Here is a 12,163-nt window from a genome sequence, read left to right as displayed (position 1 = left end):
AGCAATTTAGAAGCAGCTTAGAAGAAACACTTCTAGCTAATGGGATTGTCTTGCAGGAGGATGAATGTATTGTTAAGGTTAAGAGGAATGACTGGCTAGTTGGGAAGCAGAGTTACTACTTTGGTTTGATGGAAAAAAATGTAATTTTTGTCAGGTAAGGATTTTTATTAGTTTTCTATCCTAGCTGTACCAAATGACCATAAATTTAGTAACTTAAAACAACATTTATTTACTATCTATCTCACAGTTCTATTGGTCAGTTCTGTTGCCTTGGCTTGTTTCTTTGTTTCAAGTGTTACATGGTCAAAATAAAAGTAATGGCAGGGCTGCATTCCCTTTTGTAGACTCTGGGGGAGAACCTGCCTCCATACTCATTCAGGTTGTTGGCAGAATTCAATTCCTTGTGGTTGTAGGACTGAAGTCCCCATTTCCTTGCTGGCTTGAGGCCACTTTCTAGTCCTTGCATGTGGGCTCCACAGCAGAGTCAGCAACAAGGAATCAACTCTTTCTCAGGCTTTCATCTTTTCTGCTTCCCCTTGTGCTGCATCTCTTTGACCCTTCACCCTTTCTTTTCTTCTTTTAAGAGCTCAATTTATTATTTGCAACTAACCTGGATAACTCAAGATAACCTAGGTCAATCATTCTATTTTAAGATCCATAACCTAAATCATAGCTGTAATCAAAGATTCTGGTGAATAGGGCATGGAAAGTTTTGTATGCCTATCATTCTGCCTACCACATGAATCTTCTATCTATTCCAGGTATCCTCAACCCTAGCTATATATTAAAATCACCTGGGAAACTTGAAAAAATGCTTGTTCCTGGTCCCCAAGCAAGATGACCTGAATCAGAAATTTTTGGAGTAGAATCGAGGCAATGATCTTTTTTTATGACTCAGAAAATTATAATAGGCTTGAAAGGGTTAGGAATAACTAAAAACATCAGGTTTCTTCAACTTGATTAAATTTATTTCATAAGCAATCTACTTTAAAAACACTTTCTGTATACCCTCTTTATGTGATCACTTTGTTAGGGTGTGTAGCCCCGGAGATGAATATGCTGCCTGCCCTATTCTTACTGTGCTCACAATCTCATGGCAGAGACACATAAAGAAATAATTATAAGATTACATGGTATGTTTTAAAATAGATATTTGAATAACTTGCTTTGGGAGTTCTGTGACATTAATAATGCCTGGGAACACTGCAGAATATTTTGCTTGATTTATACTTTATAGTTGCTTTTAAAATAGTCTGGCTAGTAACTAGAAACAGTGAAATACAAATGTGTTCAGGTTTCGGCATGTCCCAGTGAGGATGAAGTATTTATATTGTGCTTCCCCAAGTATAACAGGCCAAGAATTTACTTGGGTGCTTACTAAACATGCAGGTTCCTAAATTCTTCTCCAAAAGGTTCTGTTCCAGAGCGTCCTTTGTGGGGCCTGGCCATTTTAACATTTTCACCAAGTTTTGGGGGTGATTCTGATGCAGGTGGCCCACAACCTCACACTTTGAGGACATGGTGTTTACTACATCAGTGATTTGGCACCTGCTCACTCAATAGCTTAAAAAATAATGCATGACTCAAATGACATCCTAAAGAGGACATACAGCTTGAGTTATAATCTTATATCCGTAACATGTCTTCAGGAAAGTAAAGCTTCTTTATGTTTTGTTTCACTAACTGCTTTATATATTAAAAGTGTGAGTGACATTCCAAGCTAGGTTGAAGTGGGCACTAAAACCTTACACTGGAATTTCTTTTTCATACTTTATTGGAGGCCAGGTGCAGGAGCTCAAGCCTGTAATCCCAACAATTCGGGGAACCAAAGTGAGAGGATTACTTGAGACTAGGAGTTCAAGGCACCAGTGAGCTATGATTGTACCACTGCACTTCAGCTGGGGCAGAGTGACATCCTGTCTCTAAAAAAATAATAATAAATAATAAAAAGACTCTATTGGAAGTAAAGATATTAACTTGCAACAACAATTCTAGCACAAAGACTTAGGTTTTCCAAAAATAAGCAGTGAGAAAAATAAGTTAACCAGGCTCTTGAACTTTGACATTTTTTAGATTGTGTAGAATGATTGAAATAAGTTTCCATTTGCCATGCAGGTGTGGAACTCTGCGATTGGAGTAGAGTGTTTATTCCTTGTTTTGATTCAAGAGATATGTAGCTTGTTTAATATGCCATAAGTAAGGGAAAGCATGTAATATAATATATAGGACATAGCTCAACTTTGCTCACACAAAGGTTCAGGTGGGTGAACCTTATGGCAAATTAAGTATGTGTAGAAAGTACTTCTGTTAGCCAACTTTTAGTGAATGGATACATAAATGAAAAACAGAGTATGGTTTAGAGCCTGTAAAAATCGAAGTTATTTCAAAAGTACAGAAACAAAAGATTAGGTTATTATTTTTCTTAATGTTGGAGTGAACATACACTTTCAATATTAGGGCTAGGTGACTCAATGAAAAATAAGAATTATTATAAAGAAACATAAATTAATGGAAAGTATGTATAGGAATAATACACATTTTAGAAAATAAGAAATAGGCTTGCAAGGCACTGGTGCATGTTCAGGATTTATGTTTTTTTGTGTTCTTATAAATATTGATTAAGTCACATTGGTTTCTAATGCTTATGTACAATAAAACATGCTTTTACACTATTGCATGTCAAGAAGATTGCCCTCTTAAAATTTAAGTATTTGGGAAAATTGTCTTGGTAGATGTATAATATATTAAGAAATTAAACCAGAATTGTAAGTTACATAAATTTTTGAGTGACTAGGCAGTAATATTTCAAAAGGTATTTCAGATTTTAAGACATTTTTATTTTTCACAGTTCTTTTTGTGATGAAATATATCATTTTTATTTTAATATTGAAGATATTGGGGGCCAAAGCATGGAAAACATTTTGAAATAAAGGGCTTTTAAAATTCTTTTTGCATAGTAAAGAAAATTATCTCATTTCCAGTAATAAACCACTTAGTTTAATTTTTAAAAAGGAAAATAAAATAGTACTTATAGAAACTATGAGACTAGCAGCTCTTGAAGAGAAAATGCCAGTAACAACTAGCAGTGCCAATATGATTACAAATTTACTTAACAGTATAAATTAGAGCTTTCACAACTCTGAAGTTCTTTTCCTACTAAACAAACCTTGGAACATATGGAAAAATTCTCTGGCTGGCTTAATCACTTAACTTGACCTCTTTTCATTATTTGCTTGGTCTGTCCTCAAAATTAAAAGGAAACTATTATATTTCATGATGTAACATGCAGTTCAATTATCAGTAAATAATTTAACAAGATCTGAAAGAGATTAAAAATGATTTGCTTAACAGCTTTGGTTAACTAGCATCAATTGTATTTTAGTGAAGATATATTTAGAAAAAGCTAAATATATAGAGAGAAGTACTTGCTGAATCAGCCAATTAGAGGCAGTATGCAGAGAACCAGTGAGCTGAAACCAAGGATTACAGTTAAACATACTTCTCCTGAGAACAATGTCATCATTTCATCTCCCAGTATGAGAGTCTATCTAAGTTGACTTTCAGCTATATTTGCAATGGCATTATGCACATGCCTTGCCATGATTCATCTATTATGGAATTTGAGACCTCTTGGTGAAAGGGATGATTCCTCCATAACTACCTCTCACCACGTGTCTGCTGGCAAGGAAACTTTGATAGGTCCTTTGCAAAGTAGATGACTCAAGTGAATTGCACTACCAAATGATTTGGTCATTGCTAGATCTCATGGAGTGTACAGGTGCCCATTATGTGTTTGAATGGCTGCTAACCTAAACTTGCTGCTCTATCTTTGACAAACCCAGGGGCCATACACCTGCCCCCTTGATTAGGAATACACAAGTTTACACAGTGAAAAATACCACCTTATTCCTAGTAGCACAATTTTCAGATCATTAGGGAATAGGGTAAAGAAGGAAAGCTATAAAAGTGGAATTATTTGCATTAATAAATATTTTGTGAGTTGAATACTTTTTAATTATTGATGTCAGGATGATTTAGTTACCACTAAGAGATATTTCACTAAGATACTTTTTGGAACTCTGATTTTGAAGCCTATTAGATAAGCAACAAAAATAATGGTAATGTTGGATGAAATGTGTTTCAAATATGTGGGGTTTGGAAAACCTTCAGACATGACTTTTGAAGCACTTTGCCCCTCAATATTTGGAGTTCATGTGCATATTAAAGGTAATTTAATCCTGACTCATGCGTAAATCATTAAAAAATTATTTTGTAAAACATACGTGATTTTTACATAGAATAATATTTATTTACATTGTTACTAGCATATTTAAATATATATACTTTTATTCAGAAAAATATGAACTACTAATATCTTAAATATGTACTACAGTGCCCTAAATGTGGTTTAACCTTTATGTCTTCCAAATGCAGTACAGAAAACTACTGTTTATTTAACATCTAAGTAATCACAAATTCAAAACTGAATAGTTTTCAGGATTTTATTTTGTAAGAAAGTAGACTTGTAGATATAGGAAACATCCCAACAATTTTCATTGTCAGTACATATTCAAACACTGTCTAAAACTTTCTAATAAAATAAATTACAATTAGTAGTTATGATCAGTGTTCTTGATTGTGACTTTAGGATCCTAAAGTACTTTACTGGTTCATGTTTTAATTCATTTACTCATTCATGTATATGGTAAACATTTGTTAACTGTCAGTCACAAAGGATGCAAAGATAAATCAGATATGAAACCATATCTGCAAGGGAAATAGATACGTTACTAATAATAATCATACATTCCAATAAATTCGTAGATAAAGTTAATCAAAGGAAGATCAAACTATAGTTTAATTCAAAAGGCTTTTTGCCATACTTTAGTTCTTTAAAATTTACTTAAATAAAATATTCAGTTAGATTACCCAGTGTCCCCACCATCCTGAAAAAATGAAAATTGATGTAAGTTTCTCCATCTAATAAAAAACAACAAACATTTGTAAAAAAATTATGACCAAATATTAAAATAAAATATATCTGAAAAAAAAGTTGCTATGCTTAGCTGGTTTGGGATATTGTTGTAACTTTTCTAATATAAATTATACTTTAAGTTCTAGATGGAAAAATGTGATAACTTCAGAAATGTGAGCTCTGCTTCATTGGTTTCTATATATTTAGGGATAAAATGGTTGAGTTTGCCACATTAACTTGTTACTATCTATCTTCATTCATACTAAGAAACATACTAGTGATTATTAAAGAAGTAATAGAGGCAAGGCACGGTGGCTCACACTTGTAATCCCAGCACTTTGGGAGGCGGAGGCGGGTGGATCACCTGAGCTCAGGAGTTTGCGACCAGCCTGGCCAACATGGTGAAACCCTGTCTCTACTAAAAATACAAAAATTAGCCAGGCGCAGTGGTGGGCGCCTGTAACACCAGTTATTCGAGAGACTGAGGCAGGCAAATCTCTTGAACCTGCAAGACGGAGATTGCAGTGAGCCAAGATCGTACCACTGCACTCCAGCTTGGGGTACAGAGCGAGAGCATGACTCTTTCTCAAAAAAAAAAAAAAAGAAGAAGAAGTAATAGAGAAAAGTATGATATATTTATAAAGTGCAGACAATGAGAAAGAAATTAGCCCATCAGAAAGAATCCTTAAATCTCTATTAATCAATCATTTATTTAGTATTGAATCTCTTATTTCTTTAGCAAAAATTTCTTGAGCACTCAGGTTGTGTCAGGTACTATGTTAAACACCAAACAGTGATTTGCAAAAGCAATTTTGCCTATATAAAACCATGAATACAAAAATCAATTACTTTTTTATATTTAGGGATGGATTAAATGATAGAGTTTTGCAAAATGCATAATTATAAAGAATGTGATATTGTTTAAAATAATCAATTTAAAATAAAATATATCTGTTAATAAATATAGAAGTGATTTTGTATATAGAATCTATAAAGTAAATTTTTATATTAATCTAACAAATAAAGCTGAATAGGTTGGCATTTCATTAGGTTAGATTAAATTGCATGGGAAATAGAACTTAGCCAAGAGTATGCCATGAGTTGGGAACTTTCAGGGCTCCACAATATAGTCAAAATCATTTAATGGTCACAACAAATCTGTAGTGTCCAGTATCATTCCCTATCACATTTCCAGGTGAAATGTGCATGTAAGAGTATTGTCTAATAATGAACTGTAAATTGCTTTAATTTTTTGTTAACAGAAATCCTAGTAAATTATCATTAATATGATAAGGAGAGTTTTAGGAGTTACTGTATCTGTTAACTATTTTCAACTCTTCCACAAAAAATGTGTACAAAAAAATAAAAACCAAAAACAAAACAACTCTTCTTTCTTTCACCTTGCTATTAATACTTGATAATAATTAAAGCTCCACTGAGAAGATTAAAACACAAAATTTATTTTTAAAGGCAGTATAATTTAGAATGATTTGTGGAATTATATGACTATAGATACAATAAATAAAGAAATATTTATCTAACTTATAAATGCCTAAGGAAAACATTTTAGTAATTCTATGAAAAAAATGTAAATATCTAAAATCAACAATTTTTCAAGTGAAAATGACATAATTACTCTTTAAAAATTATTTACTCATAGAAAATATGTACATTTCTAGACCAAGTGTGTTCTCATAATATAGATCTATAATTCATATTGAAACATCCCATGCTGTGAATATAATGCTATATAATAACCCAAATATATTGTAAGCAAAAGAGGCTTTTCAAAGTTGGAATTGTTCAATAAAAATATGATCTTAGTAGCAGTATTTTCTTTGAAGTTTTTAATTTATCATGGAAATAATTTTGGTCATTAGCATAATATTAAATTATTACATTCATCAATATTTCAGGTCTTGACCCCTGAATTTAAGAAATTCTTAAAGACAATGTCAAATATGATCCAAGAGAAAATGTGATTTGAGACTGGAGACAATTGTGCATGTAAGTATTGGGAAATTAAATTTTCTCATGGTAAAATTTAATAAAAACTAAAATATTAACTTATTAATTACTGAATTAAATAAACTGACTCATTGTTTTCTGTCTATAACAACACTACTTTTATTAAAATTAATACAATGATTCATGGTATTTTGGTTATATTTTTCTCAAGATCGTCTAATAATAAAAACCCATACTAGCCTATAGAAAACAATATTTGAAAGATTGCTACCACTAAAAAGAAAACTACTACAACTTGACAAGACTGCTGCAAACTTCAATTTGTCAACCACAACTTGACAAGGTTGCTATAAAACAAGATTGCTACAACTTCTAGGTGAGTCATTGGCGAGGGCTAGCAATGGCACAAATTGTGTGTGACAATTAATAGTGTGCTGTCATTGAATGTCATAAGAAGAATAATAAGCAAAACCTGTGAACACGTAAAAAGGTTTTTATAATTATTTTTCCCAAATTAGCCCTGTCATAAAATCATTACTAGTTTCCTAACAAAATTAAATCTAAGCTTACAGGTCAGTGGCAAATATCTGTTGATCGGAAATTTTTTCTCTCCTTTAAAAATATTGTTTGCGTGTTCAGTGTATTAGTCCGTTTTCATGCTGCTGATAAACACATACCCAAGACTGGGCAATTTACAAAAGAAAGAGGTTTAATGCACTTACAGTTTCACGTGGCTGGGAAGGCCTCACAATCATGGCAGAAGGTGAAAAGCACATCACATCATGGCAGCAGATAAGAGAAGAGAGCTTGTGCAGGGAAGCTCCCATTTTTAAATCCATCGGATCTTGTGAGCCTTATTTACTCTCAGGAGAACAGCAGTGGAAAGACCCACCTCCATGATTCATTTATCTCCCACTGGGTCCCTCCCACAACACATGGGAATTATGTGAGCTACAAGATGAGATTTAGGTGGGGACACTGAGCCAAACCATATCATTTAGTTATGGCTACATCCTGAAAATATGTTGGAGTAGGTTGCTCCTGGACTTCACAGGGTGTAAGCATTTGGAAAAACACTCCAGCATTTCTTGTCTCTTAGAATTAGGAAGCTAGTGGGTAGCATTTTAGAGGCCATTTTTCATTAGCTCAGAATTGTACTTAGTATTAAAAATATTCAAACAAATATTTTATTCGATACTCTTCACTCCCTGAAACCTTATTTGAATAATGTAGATGACTTAGGGAATCTTTTATTTCCTAATTTTAAAAAATTGATTTTCAGTAGTGAAGAATAATTTCTATTAAATTATAAAGACATTTTAATGATGTATAGATGTTGATTCTCAAGAAATTGAGAACAATTTCCTTCCTTAAATTACTGAAGAGTCAGAAAATTGAAAATGAGATTAATACTTACAGGAAATAAAGGTAAGCTTTATAATAAAATATGCTATCAAAATTTTTTATGTCCATGAAAAACTCTCTATTGTAATACCTTTATAATTTGATCCCAATTTTGGTAAAGGCAAAAAATGCAAGTTGTTTTCTAATTACTTATCTATCTATCTATCTATAAGAAGTTTTTCTGTTTGTAAGTCTAATTAAATTAAATTAAAATGTATTTATAAGCTCCTTAACATTTGACACCATAATGTTCTTAAACATTTGACACCATAATGCTCTTAAACATTTGCAGTTTTAATATATTTTAATCTGCTGGGCAGGGTGGCTCACACTTGTAATCCTGGCCAACATGGTGAAACCCCATCTCTACTATAAATACAAAAATTAGCTGGGTGTGGTGGCGCTCACCTGTAATCCATCTACTTGGGAGGCTGAGGAGGGAGGATCGCTTGAACTCGGGAAGTCCAGGCTGCAGTGAGCCAAGATTGTGGCACTGCACTAGGCCTTGGTGACAGAGTGAGACCTTGTCTTAAAAAAAATGATTTATCAAATCTTTAAAGTAAAATTATTGAATTATTGTGTAGTTTTAAAATAAATTTTCTGTTGAGAATCATCTGCATTTATTTCATAAATATTGATGAATTATATTTCTTTTATTTTCTGTTGCAGTTTATGTTATACAGCATATTTCATTTTGGCTTAATGATGGAGAAAAAGTGTACCCTGTATTTTCTGGTTCTCTTGCCTTTTTTTATGGTAAGCATAAAAATATATATGATTATGTCTGTTATTGCTTCCAGTATACCTATAATTGATAAAGAATATTAATGAAGTTACTAGATACAGAAATTAGTTACATTTTTATATCCAATTGATACAGCAATAATGTGTTTTCATTCGGTGTATGCTTTTAGTCCTATAACAGGTATAGAATGAGAAGGAATTGGAGGGGATCAGAATGGGAAAGATGAATACACACATGCATAAGACACCAGAGGAAAGTAATCAGAGATTGAAAAAAAAATGGAATGACTCTATGGTACATGTTGTACATAGTAGAGAAAATATTTTCAACCAGAATTGTAGATTCAGAGTTAGATCTGTTAAAAAATGATTCTCTCATTGATGTTTCTCCCGTTCTGCCAGTTGATTGACATATCTTGATTGCAAGGCAATTTAGAACCATACACTTTGTTTTAAATTAATTTCCTCAATCATTCATTCAAATTAGCAGACATTGATGTTAAATTTGAGGCAAGTGTGTGCATAAGTCTGCACACTCATCTGCCCCTCTACATGTATACAATGGGGATATGGGGCCCAAGGTGGAAGGTAGGCAAATAAGACAAAAACTCAATTGCTCTGCTGGAGGAGTCACATACTTCATACACTTAATTTTATGTTTAATTATAGTAATGAATCACCCATGTTTTTCTCTACCTCAAAATAAAACAGTGACTGTGCTCTTATCTCATTATAAACATGAAAAACCAAGAGACATACTCTCATCTAATCCTGTGGCAGCTAAGAATTTTCTTGAGGTGTTTCCAAGCAAACACCACAAAGATGGAAACAAAGAAACTTGGGAGAATACAGAAAACCTAAACCAGAAAAAAACAAAAAACAAAAAAACAAGACTACATTCCTGTCCGCATTTGTATTTGAAAACATTTTCAAGTCTAGGAGCAAATATTTCCAAGTCTAGGAGCAGTCCAAATCCTGCACTTCTTAGACGGTATCTTTAAGTTGACTTAAGCTCACACCCTCCACTGAGCGAGCTGCATAGAACATTACTTTCCTGCAGGTAATTCTGTAACAGATTAGCAACTGATTATTGTAATTAAGAAATTGTGACTCTTCCTCTTGAACTCATGTAAGATCGTGTACAAATCAGAGTCTGTGTTCCAAGTAGGGATAAAAATCATATGGATTTTTGCAATTTTATGGACTTTTTGGGAAGAACAGGAGTTACGTGCTTTTCAAATATATTAATTTTCTTTATGTTCTACATTTCCATGTATTACTTGTGTAGCACTACCACTGCATAAATCTTTATTTGGAAATTAAAACAACAAAGGAATGAAAGAGTTATTGTTAAATGGTGGTCACACAATGGTAAAACTTAAGCTTGAGAGGTGCTACCCAGTGAGGGAATGTCATTTTGATTTTACTAAATTCAACTTCCTGCTAGAAAAAAGAAATACTACAATGAGGAGGCAAAGGAAGGATAGGAAGATAACAGCTTATGGGATATAGTTAATAGAAATTATGCAACAATTACTGCTAAAAGTGTTAAAAAAGAGGTCTATTCGGGCTTCATATTATAAATCAGAAAAAAAGTCACGTGGAAACTAAAGTAGAATTGAAGCTTAAAATAGTGCTACTATATTGGAAGAAAATAAGTATATAACTTGTCCAAAAACATTATTGATGTGCATACAAGAAAAATTTCTATTTACCAACATCATAAATGATGTTGCCATTATTTTGATTATCAAAATATCATGACAATGGCAATACATTGTAAGTATTTCCATGTGCCAGATACGTCTCCTCTGTTATCTTGATGCTATTTTATACTATTTTACAATAAGGAAGCAGAGGCTTTGGGGGAGGGGACAGACAATATCTTGCCTTCATTCATAGAGCCAGGAAAAACATTCGGGTCAGATTGGAAGACATCTCTGTCTACATTCCAAAACACATATTAAGGAATGTCCTGGAGCTGGCTACCACAGGCTTCTGAGAACCAACTGTGGTTTCCCACTCTGCCAATGGTGACATCTTGTTGGTGTTTTGAAATTGGACATGGTGGGGATATTTATACCATGGAAATAGCAAACACTACAAATTGGGGTTTTTTCCCTAGAGCGCCAGTTTATCTTCCAGTACATCACCGCACTTGCTGTTTTCTACTGTGACAGACTGCCTTTGACAAACACATTTTCATAATCCTTTTCATGAAGTTGATGTTGTTGTTTTTTTAATCCCTTAGATTCTTGTTACAGCAGAATTAGAAGAGAGTCCTGAGGACTCAATTCAGTTGGGAGTTACTAGAAATAAAATCATGACAGCTCAATATGAATGTTACCAAAAGATTATGCAAGACCCCATTCAACAAGCAGAAGGTAAGCATGGCTACTTAGTTGTAAATGCATTTGACATATTTTTAAAAGAAAACTACTCCCATTATATCATTATAAGTGCTTTAGGTCCATTATTAAAAATAGATTGCTACCTTTTTGTATATGTGCAGTTTTAATTATGTTTGAAGAACATTTTATGACATCATGTTATATCGCTTTTTAAAAACAATAAAAATATGTGACAGTGATCTTTTTAGTATGATTCTTTTTATGGTACAAAGATATTTAAATCAAATAAGTATTAATATTAACACAAAAACACAAATCTTAATGACAGTTGACTTTTTCAGTTTATGTAATTGTGTATTTCTTTTTTTTTTAACAACCTGCTTGACAGGAGGTTGCCTAATAATATAATGAATACAAAAGTGTTGTTTTTCATAACACACACACTTTGCATAGTACATTTGGTGGCAAAGTTAATGAAATCTAAGTGCTTCTGTTTGCATTAAGATATTCTTTTGCTTTTTTGGATAACATTCATTGAGAGCCTGCTAAGCACCAGATACTTGACTAGATTCTGAAGATAAAAGATGAGTAGCACAAGCAGAGTTGCCAGATAAAGCAATAACAAAAACAGGTCCTATATTTTACCTGGCAACCTTAAAGAAAGGGTTATCTTCAAAATATCAAATGTAAAACTCACAGTAAAATAAAATTTAACACTCTT

At 32.8% G+C, this 12,163-nt stretch overlaps 1 protein-coding gene and 1 long non-coding RNA gene across 9 annotated transcripts in view; one reads left to right on the top strand and one right to left on the bottom strand.

Annotated features, from left to right (window-relative positions):
* CALCRL-AS1 (CALCRL and TFPI antisense RNA 1) overlaps window positions 1-12,163 on the bottom strand; it is a 544,253-nt gene that overhangs the window by 152,878 nt on the left and 379,212 nt on the right. The gene's annotated exons all lie outside the window — the stretch shown is intronic.
* The window catches only part of CALCRL (calcitonin receptor like receptor), a 106,289-nt gene that overhangs the window by 53,605 nt on the left and 40,521 nt on the right, over window positions 1-12,163 (top strand). For 4 of the 6 annotated variants that reach the window (NM_005795.6, NM_001369434.1, XM_047442888.1 and 1 more), the window contains 4 exons: window positions 6,892-6,982; window positions 7,155-7,319; window positions 9,017-9,103; window positions 11,343-11,475. In NM_005795.6, the coding sequence (NP_005786.1) occupies window positions 9,053-9,103; window positions 11,343-11,475 (184 nt within the window). In that variant the 5' untranslated portion in view covers window positions 6,892-6,982; window positions 7,155-7,319; window positions 9,017-9,052. The remainder of the gene's footprint in view (window positions 1-6,891; window positions 6,983-7,154; window positions 7,320-9,016; window positions 9,104-11,342; window positions 11,476-12,163) is intronic. The other 2 variants (NM_001271751.2, NM_001369435.1) reach the window with 1 other exon arrangement.

The sequence above is a fragment of the Homo sapiens genome, chromosome 2, assembly GCF_000001405.40.
Source record: "Homo sapiens chromosome 2, GRCh38.p14 Primary Assembly".
In the NCBI taxonomy this organism is placed as follows: Eukaryota; Metazoa; Chordata; class Mammalia; order Primates; family Hominidae; genus Homo; species Homo sapiens.
This window is presented reverse-complemented; position numbering and strand designations above follow the sequence as displayed.